The sequence below is a fragment of the Homo sapiens genome, chromosome 5 (assembly GCF_000001405.40).
Source record: "Homo sapiens chromosome 5, GRCh38.p14 Primary Assembly".
Taxonomy (NCBI): Eukaryota; Metazoa; Chordata; class Mammalia; order Primates; family Hominidae; genus Homo; species Homo sapiens.
In genome coordinates this window covers 19,708,883-19,728,006 of record NC_000005.10, presented here as the reverse complement: position 1 = coordinate 19,728,006, position 19,124 = coordinate 19,708,883, and the positions used below count along the sequence as shown (strand labels likewise).

Here is a 19,124-nt window from a genome sequence, read left to right as displayed (position 1 = left end):
GTGTAAATAAAGGAATTGCTCAGACATAGAGATATAAATACTGATAATCCGTTTCACTTGAACTTTTAACGAGTGATAAAATTCTTTATTAAAGTGCCCAATATAATGCATTAACTAACTTTAAAAATGTCAGCAGGCAGATCATTAGAAGTGCCTGATGTTCAAAAATATCAGATATTCATCTTTATTTACTGTAATCTACTTGTAACAATAACTTTTTATTTTATCTCTCTTATGATGTATCTGGTTGCAAACATAATACACAATTACAGATATTTTTTTTCTTGACTTTTAACTTCATAGTTTTGCCCAGATTAAAAAGCAACTATAAATTATGAGAATAAATGTCCATTTTTCCCACTGAAACTCTAGCACACCATATTCATTTGCTAGAGTTGCCCTACAAAAGTGCCACAGGCTGGGTGGCTGACACAACAGAAATGTATTATCTTACAGTCTGGAAGCTAGAAGTCTGAGAACAAGGTGTCACCAGTTTGTTCTCTCTGAACAGAGAAGTGACCTGTTTCACAGCTCTCCCATAGCATCTAGTGGTTCGCTGACCATCTTTGGTGTTTTTGGCTTGTAGCCACATCGCCCTGATATTTACATTCATCTTCACATGATGTTATGCCTGTGTATATGTACCTTTCTCCACATTTTTCATTTTTATAAGGATGCCAGTCAATGTAGATTAGAGGCCCGCACTACTCTGGCATGATCTTCTCTTAACTAGTTTCATTTAAAAAGTACTATTTCTAAAGAAGGTCACATTCTGAGGTACTGGGGATTAGGACTTCAACATATCAATTTGGGAGGATATGATTTAACCCATAACATATACCTTGATTAGTTTACTTATTCATTTACTTTTTGTTTATTGATTAATTGATTGTCTTAGTTTATTTGGGCTCACATAACAGAAAGCCATAGTCTAGGTGGCTTAAACAACATTTATTTGTCACAGTTCTGAAAGATGGGAGGTCCAAAATCAAGGTGCAAGAAGATTCCATGATGATGGCACACTTCCTGGTTCACAGAAGGCCATCTTCTTGCTGTGTCATCATATGGCAGAAGGAATGAGGAAGCTCTTTGTGGCCTTCTTAATAAAGTTACTAATCTCTTAATAAAGAGGGATCTGCTCTCACACGGTATTTGCAAAAACCCTACCCTCAAATACTGTCACATTAGAAGTTAGGATTTCAACATATGAATTTGAGGGGCATATGAGCATTTAGCCTATAGCATTAATAAAAGCACACACTTTTGTCTAATATAAAGAATTACTGAAAATACCAAGTCTTATAATTTTTCCATCTAGATTTCAAATAAACAAGAATTTAAGATACGAATATATTTTTCTTTCAGCCTTAAGCTTTCTTTCCAGTCCTACCTAGTAAAAGATCCTTGAACAGTAGGGCAAGAGATTTCTTTTCCATCCCTGCTATTTATGTCCACTCCTGTTCTGTTCTCTGATGGGCTGGCATTTAGTTGGGCTCTGCTATTCATGTGTGTGTGTGCTCCCTTCAACCAGCAATCTGTGTACTCAAAGTGGTACCCTGATGCCTTCAGGCACTACCGAAGTACAGTACACATAGTACACGAGGCGATTTGTTGCTCTTTGCTTCACACACAAAGACAATTGTGTGAGACTTCCTGTGCAGAAATGTATGTAGCTGTTAATGACCATTCTTTTGGATCAGGGCAGAGAGTTACTATATATATATTTTTGTCTGCTCTACTAAGTTTCCTTTGTTACTTTAAACAATCACTTACTCAGTATCACCATGCTACCCTTCTTCCTTTTTCATCTCTTTTCCTTGTTTTTCCTTATTTAACTTGTCACTGCCTTCGTGTATCTCAACTCTCACTTAACAAGGCTGGACTTTTATAGACACCCCAAGCTAAACAGAGCAACTCTCCTCCTTTCATGTGGCAATTTAGCCTATTACAGCAAAAGAAGAATGATCTTGCACTGTTTGTGCTTCTGAGCTTTTTCCATGAAATGGTTGCCCAGGGACTGCTATTTGGACATTAAAAACTATTTAGGCTTAAATTGCTATTTCAGGGCCAGAGCTAATTTCAAAACCTGAGGAGTTTATAGCCTAGTTTTTTAATGGTCCTTATTCTACTGTTTTCTGTAGTTTTCCCTTTCCCGAATCCCAGTAATCTCTATGTGCCTAGAACTGTTAACACTCCTCTTATCAGATCAAAGAAAGATTTTTGTTGTTGTTGTTGTTGAGACGGAGTTTCATTGTTGTTGCCCAAGTCGGAGTTCAGTGGTGTGATCTCAGCTCACCGCAATCTCTGCCTCCCGGGTTCAAGTGATTCTCCTGCCTCAGCCTCCCAAGTAGCTGGGATTACAGGCATGCACCACCACGTCCAGATAATTTTGTATTTTTAGTAGAGATGAGATTTCTCCATGTTGGTCAGGCTGGTCTCAAATCACCAACCTCAGGTGATCCACCCGCCTCGGCCTCCCAAATTGCTGGGATTACAGGCGTGAGCCACTGTGCCTGGCCTTCAAAGAAAGCTTTAATTGAAATAATTTTATATCATTTTTAACCATATTTTAAGCTTGCTGCACATTTAAAGTCTAATCTGGGTACCTAACAACAGACTTTGTTTTATTTTAGTTTTTTCAGTGAGGTACCAGTGAAAATGTCTTCAAAACCAACTTTTAGTCGTAGATGCCTACCTAGTGGTATTCTCTGAATAAGTTGGAGGCTTGAATATCGGTTATGGATCAAGTGTTGTGCCATCACATAAAAAGTCCCTAATATGGGCCGGGTGCGGTGGCTCACGCCTGTAATCCCAGCACTTTGGGAGGCCGAGGTGGGTGGATCACGAGGTCAGGAGATCGAGACTATCCTGGCTAACATGGTGAAACCCTGTCTCTACTAAAAATACAAAAATTTAGCCAGGCGTGGTGGCGGGCGCCTGTAGTCCCAGCTACTCAGGAGGCTGAGGCAGGAGAATGGCATGAACCCAGGAGGCGGAGCTTGCAGTGAGCCCAGATAGTGCCACTGCACTCCAGCCTAGGTGACAGAAGGAGACTCCGTCTCAAAAAAAAAAAAAAAAGGCCTTAATATGCTATGTTAATAAATAATTATACTTTATAGTGGAAGAGATAGTCTATATGTGACCAGCTCAGGACAGTTTGTGGTGGGAACTGATTTAATCAAGCCAGAAAGGTTAGCGGTATATTGAGAAAACTCACAGGACACACAAACCCAAACTACCTCTCTAAGAATGGAGTAGCACAGAGGCAAGAACGCATCTTTGTCTCTAATACTTGTAATTTTGAGACCATTGTAGATTTGCATGTAATGGTAACATTTTGCAAATCTTTTTTTTTTCACAATGGTAACATCATGCAAAACCATAAAGCAATATCATAACCAGGTTATTGAAATGGTACGAGCTACTGATTGTCGTTAGGTTTCCCTAGATTTACTTGTATAAATTTGTGTGTGTGTGTGTGTGTGTGTGTGTGTATGTCTGTGTGTACGAGTGTGCTCAGTTCTACAGAATTTTATCAGCTGTGCCTATTTATGCATCAATTACCATAATCAAAATATTGAACAGCTCCAATATATAAGGATCCCTTATGCTTCCCTGCTATACCAAACTTCCTTGCTCTAGTCTGTCTCCCTAAATCTCTAGAAAATAATAACTTGTTATTCATTTCTAAATTTTTTCATTTCAAAAACGCTATATAAATGGAATCATAGCATACAACCTTTTGGGATTTACTTAATTTTCATTTAGTTGATTCCCTGAAGATTCATACAAGTTGTTGCATGTACCCATAGTCTATTCATTTTTATTGTTGAGTAATATTTCATAGTATGAATGTACCAGTTCATTTAACAAGTCTCTCATTGAAGGACATCAGGATGGTTTCCAGTGTGGGGCTATCATGAACAATGCCACTATGAATATTTGTAAGCAGGTTTTTCTGTGAACATCAGTTTTTATTTATTTGTTAAAATGCTATGGCTGGGCGCGGTGGCTCACACCTGTAATCCCAGCACTTAGGAGGCTGAGGCGGGCAAATCACCTGAGGTCAGGAGTTCACAGCCTGGCCAACATGGTGAAACCCCATCTCTACTATAAATAGAAAAAATTAGCTGGGTGTGGTGGCAGGTACCTGTAATCCCAGCTATGCAGGAGGCTGAGACAGGAGAATTGCCTGAACTCGGGAGGTGGAGGTTGCAGTGAGCCGAGATGGCGCCATTGTACTCCAGCCAGGGCAACATGAGCAAAACTCTGTCTCAAAAAATAATAATAATAAAATAAAAATAAAAAATAAAATGCCCTATTCAATTTATTGGGTAGATGTGTGTTTAGTTTTATAAGAAATTGCCAAACAATCACATTTCTATCCACAGTGTATGAGTGACCCAGTTTCTCAGCATTCTAAACAGCAAAGTTACTGTCACCATACTATTTGATTGGTCTGTAATTTGAAATCTCTTTTAGACATAACACAGCTCTCATCCTCTGAGGATGGATAATTGCAAGTCATATTTCTTCTTAGAGTCTCATTGTTAAAATACTATTTAGGGGCCAGAATCCTTAATATATTATACATATTTATGATATGCTAATAAGGATTGTTAGGTGAGCTTGGCATATTCTATTTTCTAGGATCCCTTGAAGACACAGAATAAACTTTCCCTAAAATTGTGTCTGAAGTTCAACATGGAAGTACAAATTTTCTTTCTTTTTTTTTTTGAGACAGAGTTTCGCTCTTGTTGCCCAGGCTGGAGTGCAATGGCACAATCTCGGCTCACTGCAGCCTCCACCTCCCAGGTTCAAGCAATTCTCCTGCCTCAGCCTCCCAAGTAGCTGGGATTACAGGCATGTGCTGCCATGCCCAGCTAATTTTTGTATTTTTAGTAGAGACAGGGTTACCAAAAAAAAATTTTGTGTGTGTTAACAAAAAAAAATTCACCATGTTTGCCAGGCTGGTCTCAAACTCCTGACCTCAGGTGATCCCCTAGCCTCAGCCTCCCAAAGTGCTGTGATTACAGGCATGAGCCACCATGCCCGGGCCTAGAAGTACAAATTTTCTAGTTGAACGGACATTAGGTCCTGAGTCATTGACATAATTACTAAAATAAAAAACTATTAATTGTCAGTGCTTCCATATTCAAATACCAAAATGAATACAAAATTCCATACAAGATCAATTGATTGTAAAAACATTTTTACTTGATAGATAACCCAAATTAGTAGGTAGAATTTTTCTAGTGATGTGGAATAAAATATCAAGTATGCACCATTAGATGATTCATCAGGTACATTTTATGAATAGATGTGAATTCTTAGATGAGCATTCTTACCCACTAATTCTGCAATGAAGCTGTATATCCCTTAATATATGGTTGTCATGTTATACTTAGATTAAGTTTTCATTTAGAAACAATTGAAATATTATATAGGTGTATCTAATTATGCAAATCGTGTTTTAAAAAGTAAGCACAAAGACACGATCATACTAGATTCAATAATTTTATTACCTCAAAATATAGTATTTTAAATGTTATAAATGAATTTACAATCCATTTTCATTTTAAAAAATCCAGTGCGATGTTGGCACTGTGTATAAGACACTAAAGGAATGAGATTTGAACTTAGTAGACCAGTTGGCTGTGCGCAGTGGCTCACACCTTTAATTCCAGCACTTTGGGAGGCTGAGCGGGGCGGATCACCAGAGATCAGGAGTTCAAGACCAACCTGGCCAACATGGCGAAACCCTGTTTCTACTAAAAATACAAAAATTATCTGGGCATGGTGGAGGGTGCCTGTAGTCCTAGCTACTCAGGAAGCTGAGGCAGGAGAATTGCTTGAATCTGGGAGGCAGAAGTTGCAGTGAGCCAAGATCGCACCACTGCACTCCAGGCTGAATGACAGAGCAAGACTCCATCTCATGTCTCAGAAACAAACAAACAAAAACAAATGGACAAAAAAAGGAGACCAGTTATGTGACTCATTAATTATGCAGGTAATAAATAAAAAGAATGTGTAAGACAGAAAATGACTTGAATGGAGTGTTGTGATGTCATTGATAATTTAATATCAACTCACCCACCTTCCCAACTTAATCACAAATCATTCCACCTCCAGTTTTCAGAACAGTCATGAAACATGCTATACACAGCTTTATCATAACTCTGATTTAACTGCAAAATTAGTAGCAATTTGATATATGAGTGCAAGCCAACCAAATCTTGGTTATATTTTATTGCTTTTTTAATGAAAATCAAAAGAGACCATCATTCACAATGTTACCAACACATAAAGAGCCATGTTAAAAGGTTTGGGACCAATATTATATTTTAGACTCTCTTTCATTACAGTCGATGACAGGGAAAGAAAGCAAGTAATATGTTTTATACATAAATTTAATTAAATTTACTAGGACACAACCAGTACTGATCTCCATAGCTATTTCAGCATACCCATTTTCTGTGTTCAAATTAATCATATGCTAAATGCCATCACACACTAAAATTTGTTTTCCTGAATGCACAGGTACCTCTGTTCTACAGGTGACAGCTACTGATGCAGATGACCCTACCTATGGAAACAGCGCTCGGGTGGTTTACAGCATTCTCCAAGGACAACCCTACTTCTCCGTCGACCCTAAAACAGGTTAGTGCATTTACACATAACTCGCATGCAAGCGTTTGCTACAGTAAGTTGCAAAGCAATGGTTTTTATTTCCATATGCTCTTTTCCATTAGATGATGTGATTTTAACATATTTTAAACATATCCTCACTTTTTCTAAAACAATGTAATGAAATAATTGAAAATAAATTAATGTACATATATTATGCTTTCCCTATTATGTTGATAACCCATTATTTATACCCGTGCAAGAAAATGTTACTTATCCTTCAGTATTTCTGTAATACTTAAATAAATAATCTGTGTTTAAAACAAATATGGCATATTACAAACATTGAGTGAGATTTTCAAATATATTATTTGCTCCGCTTGTATATTAGTTTTAATTCTTAGCTGAAGAGGGTAAATAGCTCTTTGAAATTTTCCTACATTGATTTTGCTTGTCACATAAATTGTTAGGTATACATACACACATATATATAAAATTGTATTGTACTGGGGGATTTCTATTTCTTGGGTTGGCAATTTTTTCTAATGAGTAAATTATTCAGCCCTCAAATATTGTGTTACCAAAAAAGAATTAAAATAATGTCAAAGACATAAATATTTTTTCAGGAAAAAATATAAATTCTGCTCTCCTTTTATTTTTTACTGGCCAAAACATATTATGTCAATCATATCATGTCAATCATATCATATGACATTATATCACATCAGTTATATCCTGTCATATCAGGCCAAAATGGTAATGAAGGCTGCTTAATAATGTATTACAGGATTTGCTACAGCAGCGGAATCCAAAAACCATAAAAAAATCACATGTCCCCATTGACAATCAATTTGTTGCTAAAAATTTGGTTAAGTAAAACTCATTTTTAATTTAGACAAGTGTTCAGTAACAAATCTCAAGTTTTTCTAAAATTTTAAGGATGTACATATTTATGAGATGGATGAAGTAGAGAGAGATCTAGGATGTTCCAGCAGCACCATACATCCTTCTTGAGCGCAAGATGCATTCTGAATCAGATCAACATCTGGCATCTCCAAGTAAATGGCATAGCCACATAACTAATACAAAAAGGAGCTATTTTTTAATCATAAATATCTCTTTATACTTCTATAATTATATAGCATATAACCCATTTTTCAGGGAACCTTGTTCCATAAGTCTACAGATTATAGATTTATTTACCAATGTGTTATGTGAGGCACATCCAACTAAAAACATGGTATAGATAAGCACTTTCTCTCTAGCTAATACCACTAGATTGTTTACCAAGAGTTTTGTCATTATCATGTTTACAAGAGGATTTGATTGGGTCACTTGCCTTCTTTCTTTTCCTGGAGTGCTCCAACATGGAAATACACTGGCATGAATGGATCTCAGACATACTTGCTTAACTCTTTCCTTCTTTCTTTCTTTCTTTCTTTCTTTCTTTCTTTCTTTCTTTCTTTCTTTCTTTCTCTTGCTTAACTCTTTCTTTCTTTCTCTCTCTCTCTTTTCTTTCTTTCTCTCTTTCTTTTACCTTAAAAAGAAAACAACGTAGAACATATATAGATATAGAAATGAAGAACATACACATGAATATATATAAATATCCTTATATGCATTATAATTGTAGAATAGATTGTAATATGTAGTTAAAGTGAAAAATAGATATTGGGATATAATAAAATAAATAACATAATGCAACTTAAAATGAGTATGAGACCTGCAGGTTCTGTTGGTTCCAAGGTATCACTTAATATTTAGGAAAACATGCTTATTAATCTAGTAATCTAAGTGGTGGCACAAAAATGTACATATTTATGATTACACATTATTATTCATTAGAAGAGCTTAGAATTAGTTGAAAAGCTCGCCATTCTTTAATGGTGATATTTCACATTTTGTTCTATTTTCCCAATAATAATATTTGCTTCAAATATAAAATAAATATAAATTCCTACCTTAAAATACACATCTCCCTAGAGGAAAGTAACAGGAATGCTGTTTCAACTGCCTTTTTTAGAAATATACTAACACACATGCATGCACATGTCACAAAGGCATACATGCATAAAGACACATGCACACAAATATATGACATTAGTCCATTAACGATGCCATACAAAGCCAAACATTTATTTATAAATAGTTACAATTATCTAATAGAATATCGCTGTGATATAAACAGCCTGTATAAAATTGTTTAAAAAAGTTATTTTACACTTTTTATGCATACAATTGGTTAACAAACATCAATTTTGTGTGTTCATGTGTCTGAATGTGAATGTTTGCATATGTTGTGTGAGTAAATACATGTATGTGTATGCACTTGGATGGATAAATTAGGTCACTGAGACCAATGCTCTAATAGTGTTGGACTGCTGTAGTTTGTGATTTGGGGGAAGCAAATATATCAGTAACATAATATGTAAATACAATGTGCATTCATTTATGTACATATATTATAGTTTAAGTGAGTACCTTATTAAACAACAAAAATAAGTTTATCTCAAGTGTAAATAGGCTGCTATTCAAATGCTACTCTACAAAATTTTCTTTGCTCTTGCATTTCTTTGTTCCTTTCTTCAGAGCTTTAATATATTGAATAAAGTACATGCCTCCACTTTGATGTGTGTTAATATCAGTATTATACTGGCTAATGCATCATGGGAACCTATGGATATCTGTCCTACTAGGTCATTAAGGAACAAAAGTGTTTTTAAAGATCTTTTAAATATGCAAGTATCTTAGAGAGTTAGACAGTTATCAGTAGAAAGTGCTAAGTAGGGTATAAAATAAAATGTTCATTAGTCTTCACAAACAACAAATTTGGCAATTTGTGCTTAAAAACCCAATTATGATGCTGTTAAACATCCTCAGAACTAATGAATTTAGTTGAAATTGTGCAGAAAAGTGAATGGAATAAAATACAAACATACTGAAAATCAAAGAATCAGTTAAGTTGGATGGCATGTTATATAAGAAGCATGGAAATAGTAGTCACTTATAATGGTGTATATTAATAGTATCACTTAATTCCATTCCCCTAATTAGTATGACTGCACCTCAGCATGTTTCCAGTTATTTTCATTGAAGACCAATCATAATAAAACATAACTTCTGACCCCTCAAAATGTGGACTTGTGAGTGCTTATGACTAAAATCAGTGTTTCGATTGCCTTGTTTCCATGAAAGATGCATTTTATTAACCATTGTGCTCTTCCAGAGACCTTGGCTTCCTATTTTGTAAACCATCTCTGAGTAGCTGTATCCAGAAAATGAATTGTGTGGCTGTTGAGTTACTATGTGATACAGAATTAAATTAATAATATCTGAATTTTTTTACACTGAAATCTTATCAGTATGGTGAAACATCTTGTGAAAAAAATGTATTGTTTTTAATGACTTTCGTTAAGGTAATTTTATGATTTGTGTTCAGTGTGTACCAACAAAGGACAAATGTGCACTAAAAAATGATGGTTTAACATTAACTACCATTTAAAAGGTACAGGGGCCTACGATGATAAAATATAAAATACATATGCTATTTCTGGCTAGATTCATAGGAAGAAAACATTTTTTACAGTTATTAAAGAAAACATTTTACTATCTAAGGAAACAGCTAAACCTAAGCAATGCATTTTGAGGAAGGCCACTGAGTGAGAAAGTCATTTTGAGTTATCAGAAAATGAAATTCAAGAGAAATCTGGGATGATGGTTGTTTATTAGCACAACTCAAATCTCACTCTTACTTCAGTTATTATAGTGTAAACTGAGTTAAAAATAAATCAATATTTCAAGTTTTCTATGCCTTTTCAGAAACCATAAAATTTTTGTCAGGTGGTGACTACAAAAGCTGAGTGATCAAATTCCTACACAAAAGAACTAGTTCCCATAACATAGGTTGGAGACAGAACCAGAAATCTACCAGGTATCATTCCAGGGCCTTAGAAACAGAATGGAAACTTTCCATTTCCTTACGGAATGGAAGACCAGTGTAGTTTTTAACTGGACATGAAAATCTCTTAATGCTCATTACTTTCATGGCCATTTGATGATTCTCTGATTGCTGTTTCATAGTTAACAACTTATGAACTACTTAATATTATTTTTGTTAGTGCATCTAATTTAAGTCATGCCTGTGTCTATTTCATACAAGTATACTGAATCTTCCTGATGACCAATTCAGGAAGCCTGAAAACCTAAATTAAAACCTGATGTCACGAAAAATACAGGAGTATACTGTTTTACAAAATCGTAGTTAAACCTCCCTTACAATTGTTTATAGTAGTCAATATCAGCTCTTTTGACCATAATTAACATGAAATGTATAAATCATTGACAGTCAGTAATGGAGATCATACATTTGTATAAATGATTCTCATAGTGGGTTTTTTTCACATGCCCAGTAAATACTACTAAGCCATTTTTTAATTTTCATATTTGCGTGTTTATGTTTTAAACTCATGTATCATTTTTCATACAGTCTTTACATATCTTAATGTAAGAATATTTATTTATAAAATATAGCGGCTGAAAACATTTACATTGATACATTCTACATTTAATTGTCAGGTACATAAAAATAGTAAGATCAGACAGGCTATCTTTATTTATATACAAAGAGCATACCACATTTTTTTAATCAACACTCCTAATGTATTTCGGTATTTTAATTTTTTGTGTTACATGATATTAAAAAGGAGTAGACATTGAACTTCAAATATTTTGTCAGTCAGATTCTTTTGCATTAATAACATCTATCTCACTTAGATGAGATAGAACACTATCTCAGATGCTAAGAACACTTAGCATCAAGTAAAATTCCCTACACCTAATAATGACTATCAGTTTCAAAGACACAGTCAGATTATTATTTATTTTGACATGGCGTTATTATAAATATCATGAAGAAACTGCTTACTTGGCCTTTCTACCAAAGATTAATATACTATTTGGAGTCACGTTATAGTTTAATTAATATAATATAAATATAGCGTAAATTATAAATATTTTTTCTGAAATAGTAAGGTTTATTGCAAAAGAAGTTGAGGATGCTTTGTGTTCAAATTCTAGAATACTACTTAGTTGCTTAATAAATTGATCGAATTAATTAAGTTTTTTGCTTCTGTTTCCATGTGTATAAACTTAGAATGGTAATGCCTAAATCCCATGGGAAAATGAGGGCAATGCTCTTAGTCCAGTCCTTGGAAAAATATAGGACTCAAGTTATCTTGTCTCCTTCTTTAAGATTGACAAGAGGCTGGGAGCGGTGACTCAAGCCTGTAATCCTAGCACTTTGGGAGACCCAGGTGGACGGATCACGTCAGGTCAGGAGTTCAAGACTAGCCTGGCCAACATGGTGAAATCCTGTCTCTGCTGAAAAATACAAAAATTAGTCAGGTGTAGTAGTGCATGCCTGTAATCCCAGCTACTCAGGATGCTGAGCCAGAGAGAATCGCTTGAACCCAGGAGGCAGAGGTTGCAGTGAGCCAAGATCGTGTAACTGCACTCCAGCCTAAGTGGCAGAGTGAGAAACTCCATCTCAAAAAAAAAAAAAAAAAGAGATCGACAAGAATTTCCAAAATTACTACATTTTGAATGATTATGAGAATTTGAAATAGTCTTATCTGAAGTAGTAAAAAATGATTATTTTGTTTGAAAGAACTTTTTAGTCAAAAAGTTATATAAATTTATTTTAAAAAGATAAGATACATTATGAACTTATATGCGATTAAATTCTTTCCAAACATTTTCTAGAAATCTTTTACAAACATGATAAATAAGAGAAATATACCATTGGAAAATTGTGAATGATAATCTGTAAGGAGATAAAAGTTAGACAATAAAATAACCAACCTTTTATCTTCGGAATTGACAGTCTTGACTCAGAATAGTGTCTCTAGATGAGGTAAACTGCCATGCTCTGTCTGAAACAACAGCCACTAATGCAGAGCTCTTGACGGACAATAACTGTGATTCTTCAAGATGACCTTTTCTCAACATATTGTAACAGAATTCAATCAGCTATAAAAATGAACTCAGTTAAAGACCTCAATGAATTTCGTAGGATATAATTGAAAACAAGGTTTTTCAACATTATTTCTTCAGTCTGCATAAAGTAGTTAAATTCATCAACATTTTTTGGTTCTCTATTACCTCCCCAAATTTATTTCATTTCATTTTTGCTCAGTGAGGAAAAATATTAAGTCTAGGAATGATTTCTCTATATGCTTAAAGAAACTATATAAAGCATCTTTGGAAGTCCTATAGATTTTAAATTTCATTTTGTATCATTTCATATGAAAATCTATTTGACAATAGTTTTCACTTTCCAAAGTCAATATTTTATATCTATTAAAAGCTAAGACAATAAAATATTTAAATTGTGGTTTACAATATCTGCAGAAGATAAAGAAGATTTCACAATAGAATATGCTTTGTCAATTTATCTTTTTATAACCCATTCCTATTGATAATAATAATAACAATAATAATTGCTTGCACAAACAATTTTGCAGTATGTCCTCACTTATCATTCATAGATTCTTGGAAACTGTAATTTTTAAGCAAAATAAAGTATAATGACAATATATATTGTTTCCGTCAATGTTATAAGGAAATGAAGTAATGGAAATGACATAATTTGAGGACCTGCTGTATGTCCCTTCTCTTGCAATCACCATTTTAAAGAACCTATTAAGGACATTGAGAACTTACTGTAGAAACATTTAAAAATAATTATTTTATATTCTCAGACAACAGACAAACAGACAAAAATGGTTAGGTAGTCATCATCAAAGCTAAGTAATTTGTTCCTCTTGGAAAAAAAATTAATAGGTTCCATTTACTGAAAAAAAAAAAAAAATCTCACTTTGTCTACTTTAGGGAAGAATTCCAAGTAGTTCCTGAACTGCAGCAGATTGTGTGAGGACAACAACACAAGAAAAAAAATCAGCTGTAGATAGCATTTAAGAAATAGAGAGTTATTAAATTCTAGTAGACATTAGTGGTTGTCTATTTAATATCAATTTCTCATTTTGCCTGTCATATCATAACTCTGATTTTACTCAGGGTAGCAACATATGCAGTTAAAAATCTAGATTTTTCCAACTTCCCTGTATCTATCAACACTGCTCTGGCCAGTGAGGCCACTGAGGTATTTTAGGAAAATTTGGAAATCTTTATAAAGGTGCCAATGCTCCCTCAATCAGCTTTATCATCTTCTGGATTTAAACATGTATTTGTGATCATGTGACAACAAGCACACAAAGAGAAGGTTACATGGAAATTGCTGAAGAAAAGGACCTCAATGAAGTCACTCCGATTATGTTATTTTTATATTCAGATGCATGCCCTGCACTAACTGATACCTGGGACCTTTGTGAAATGCACTTTGCAGACATATGAATCACCTTCATAGTACAGTGCACTGCCCAGGCAGGTGTTGAGCTGGCTTCCTGAGAATACTTTCATTACTTTCAACCTGAAATCTATGAACCAGAGAGAGCACACTGCTCTCTCTCCATGAGTAACCACTTTACAGTTTCAGTGCAATATCAAACTGCAAAAGGACATTTTTCACACTGATTTAAATGAAATATCAAAAGGTATATTAGGTTTGCTATTTGGGGGAATCAAAATGAAACTAAATGCATTTTTCTCTGATACTCCACTGAGAATGCATATTTATTAGATAATTGTATTTCCAAAACAAAGTACCAAAGTACTTTACAGACACTATAGATATCAGATAACTCTCCTACTCCGTGGCAAGATCATAGTGTCCTTTTGACATCAACAGAATAATATCTATCAAATTTAATTCCTCTGCATATAGTTCTAACAAAATGCAATTATAGATCAGTGTTCTATTCTAGTCAAACTATTCGTTGTAGCCCTAGATGAAACAATTAAGATGGAATTAGGTTGAATTGTACACTTAAGTAAATTTTATGGTATGTAAATTAAACTTACAAAAAGCTGTTAAGCAAACAGAGTAAGGAAACCAATTGAATGTACTTCTTCAAAAATATCAACTGTTTGTCAAAAAATTGACCAGCTGCTACCAGGAGAGTAAAAAAATCATCTAATTCGCTATAAAATGGTAGTTATACCTTTACATATCAAAAAGATAAGAATCAATGTTGGTCAATTGTAGCATATCTTATACTATTTCTTCCTAATAAAAGATAAATTTACTTAATCTTCTTTTTTTTGTGACCTCGCTCTATGCCTCCTGCATCTCAATAGTAACTATTGAGAAAAAAAAAATACTGGGAATTATTGTTTAGCCAATAGCGTGGCAAATATATTAGCTATTAATACTAGTTAATTTATTGTCAAATATTAAATCAATAGATAACAGGAAACATTGCGATTGTGTTCTTTAGTCTTTAAACCTGATTAAACATAATTCATGTTATATAATTACCAAGCAATTTGATTTTTCTTTCATTACTTTAAATTTATTCTGAGGTCATTTATCCTACTGCCACAGGATTAAATGTACTGCAATCCCATTGATTCCCTAGATTCTTCCCTAACCCAGTATCTTAGATATGTACAATGAAATCTAGAAAGCACTAGAATATTATTAATGTTCCACAATTTTTACCACTATATATACACATATATATAGAAAATACACATATATAATTTTCCTATTATATATACATATATGTAGAATACATACATATATATAAATATGTGTGTGTGTGTGTATATATATATATATATAAATTTTAAGCTCATACTTACTTCTATATTTCAACCAAGCACTGCTTCTATGTTATTTTTTCACTTAGTCTATTGATCTTCCTGGCATGCCCTTCCCACACAAATTTACACTTCAGTGGTTGATTCCCTGGACTCTTAGAACTAATCTCTGATCTTTGAGTAACATTTTTACATTCCTCCTAAAACATAGCAGTAGCCCTTTTGTTCATATGGCATTTCTTCTCTACTCTGAGAGCTCTATAAGGGCTTCAATACCATAGATGTTACTGTTGCTTTCCACACCAGGCCTCCCTGAGTGCTTTACACACAGTAGCAAGTTTTTAATTATCTGTATTTTCTTTTATTTCTATAAATTTGAGGGATACAAGTAGAGTTTTGTTACATGGATATATAGTGGTGAAATTTGGGCTTTTGGTATAATAAACACCCAGAAAATGTACTTTGTACCCAATAAGTAATTTCCCGTTCCTCATTCCTGCCCACCCTTCAGAGTCTCCAATACTTATTATTCCCCACTCTATGTCCATGTGTACACATTATTTAGCTTTCACTTATAAGAGAAAATATGTAGGATTTGACTTTATCTTTGCATTATTTTACTTAAGATAATGGCTTCCAGTTCCGTCTATGTTCCTGCAAAAGACATGATTTCATTCTTTTTAATTGCTGAGTAATATTCCACAGTGTATATGTAGCACATTTTGTTTATCCAGTCATCCATTGGTGGATACTTACTGTATATTTGCTATTGTGAATAGTTCTAAATAAACATATGGGTATAGATATGCTTTTGATACAATGATTTCATTTTCTTTGGGTAGTAGTAGTAGTGGGTTTGCTGAATCAAATGGTAGTTCTATTTTGAGTTTTTTTGAGAATTCTCCATGCTGTTTCTCAGAGGTTGTGCTAATTTACATTCCTATCAACAGTGTATAAACATTCCCTTTTCTCTGCGGTGTTTCCAACATTTGCTTTTTTTTTTTTTTTTTTACTTTATACTAACAGTCATTCTGACTTGTGTAAGCTGTTATTCCATTGTGGTTTTAATTTACCTTTCTCTGATGAATAGTGATGTTGAGCATTTTTTTCAAATGCTTGATAGCCATTTGTGTCTCCTTTTGAGAAATGTCTTTTACATGCTTGGCAGCCCTTCGTATGCCTCCTTTTGAGAAATGTCTGTTATGTCTTTTGCCCACTTTGAAATAGGGTTATTTGTTTGTTGTTGTTGTTGTTGTTGTTGTTGTAGTTTATGAGTTGTATGCATTCGTTGTAGATTCTGGATATTAGTCTCTTGTCAGATGCATAGTTTGCAAGTATTTTCTCCCATTCTGAAAGTTGTTCACTTGGTTGATTTGTTGCATTTGCTGTGCAGAAGCTTTTATTTTAATATAGTCTTACTTGTCTATTTTTGTTTTTGTTGCATTTCCTTTTGAGGTTTTAATCAGGAATTATTTGCCTGAGCCAATGTCTAGATGAGTTTGTCCCAGGTTTTCTTCTAGTATTTTTATAGATTCAGATATTAACTCTTAATCCACCTTTAGATAATTTTTATATATAATGAGAAATAGGTGTCCAGTTTCATTCTTCTGCATATGACAATCCAATTTTCCCAGAACAATTTGTTGAATAGGGTGTTCTTTCCTCAGTGTTTGTTTTTGTTGGTTTTTTAAAAGATCAGTTGGCCTTAGGTATGTGGCTTCATTTCTGAGTTCTGTATTATATTTCTTTGATCTATGTGTCTATTTTTATGTTAGTACTATGCTGTTTGGTTATGATAGCCTTGTATGAAGAACCAAACTGAAGGCATCATATTATTGGACTTCAAATTATGTCTCATTATCTTTATTGAAGGCCTACATTATCTAACTTTAACTACAAAACTAAGTTTTTAAAAGTTTTGTAGAAGAAATGACTTGTGGATTATTATTTTTAAATAAATATTAGTAATATTTGTATTTTACATAACATTTGTCACGTCTCTGATCTTCTGTAAACAGTTTTTATTTTGCTACTTCTATCAATTTTGTAATATTCTAGTTTAGGATTTTTCCAAATGATTGCCAAAACAGTAGTATTTCAGAGCTCTTAGAAAACTAAATATTTTTGGAAACATGATAAATAAAATAATTCTCAGTTTACAAGTTTACAAAGTAAATTATTTCTGAGAAACGAAAACAACATGTTTTACATGTACATAACTAAAAAATAAATCTCTGGAATGCAAGCTCACTGAGACCTTGCATTACTCATTTTTGTATCTTCCATAATGGTTAGTGCATTGTGTGACACATAGAAGACAATATTTGTTTATATAGAAATAAAATCTGACTTTGGGAAGGCAGTTATTCAAAATAATACCATTTCTAATATTAATGCTCATGGTTTTTTAATTGTCTTATTTTATTTCTCAAAAATATTCCCATCTTCCATATATTGAATTTAGAAAGGCTGAATGTCTGAATAAGAGAAGAATCATTAACTTATGAGTGTTTTATTTTTGTTTTTTGAGACGGAGTCTTACTCTGTCACCCAGGCTGGAGTGCTGTGGCATGACCTTGACTCACTTCAACTTCTGCCTCTTGGGTTCAAACAATTCTCCTGCCTCAGCCTCCTGTGTAGCTGGGATTACAGGTGCCTGCCACCATGCCTGGCAAATTTTGTATTTTTTAGTAGAGACAGGGTTTCACAATGTTGGCCAGGCTGGTCTTGAACTCCTGACCTCAGGTGATCCACCCACCTCGGCCTCCCAAAGTGCTGGAATTACAGGCATGAGCCACTGAGCCCAGCCAAACTTATGGTTTTAAGGTTTATGTTTTTTCTATTATTGTTAAAATCTCAATTTCATTTTCTTTTTGCTTTGGTCTTATGTGCCTAACTCTCCCAACATTTTGGGATATGCCTTTTCTTTCTTTTCTTTTTTTCTTTTCTTTTCTTTTCTTTTTTTTCCTTTTCTTTTCTTTCTTTTCTTTTTCTTTCTTTCTCTCTTTCTCTCCTTTTTCTCTCTCTCTTTCTCTCTTTCTGTCATTCTGTCTTCCTTCCTTCCTTCTTTACTTTCTTTTTTTGTTGTTGTTTTTTGAAAGAGTTTCACTCTTGTTGCCCAGGCTGGAATACAATGGCAAAATCTCGGCTCACTGCAGCCTCTGCCTCCCAGTTTCAAGTGATTCTCCAGCCTCAGCCTCCTGAGTAGCTGGGATTACAGGCGTCTGCCACTGAACACAGCTAATTTTTGTATTTTTAGTAGAGATGGGTTTCACCATGTTGATCAGGTTGGCCTCGAACTCTTGACCTCAGGTGATCCACACACATTGGCCTCCCAATGTGCTGGGATTATAAGCATGAGCCACCGTGCTGGGCCAAGCCTTTTCTTTAAAATACAAATAAATGTCTCAAGCTCCCATCCTATGCAGTATCAGAAGAAAGTTCCCCAAACCCTTTCCTCCACATATTTCCGAAGTAAGTGCCAGGTGAGTGGTAAGTGCCAGGTGAGTGGTAAGTGCCAGTTGAGGGGTAAGTGCCAGGTGAGGTATCAGAGCCACTGCCATGGCAAGTGATTGGTTCATGGGTAATAAGAGGAATTTACCAACAGTACAGGTTTGAAAGGAAAGTTATTTATTTATTTATTTATTTATTTATTTAACAGAGTCTAGTTCTGTTGCCCGGGCTGGAGTGCAGTGGCACCATCTTGTCTCGCTGATGCTGAGACCAGCTCGGTCATGGAGTCCCTAACCCAGTGGTGCTAGAGGAATTAAAGACACACA

At 34.3% G+C, this 19,124-nt stretch overlaps 1 protein-coding gene across 20 annotated transcripts in view; it reads left to right on the top strand.

Moving 5' to 3' along the window:
* Nucleotides 1–19,124, top strand: part of CDH18 (cadherin 18) — a 1,104,418-nt gene that overhangs the window by 847,707 nt on the left and 237,587 nt on the right. For all 20 annotated transcript variants that reach the window (XM_005248228.5, NM_001349562.2, NM_001349556.2 and 17 more), the window contains one exon: nucleotides 6,541–6,660. In XM_005248228.5, coding sequence (XP_005248285.1) covers nucleotides 6,541–6,660 — 120 coding nt within the window. The remainder of the gene's footprint in view (nucleotides 1–6,540; nucleotides 6,661–19,124) is intronic.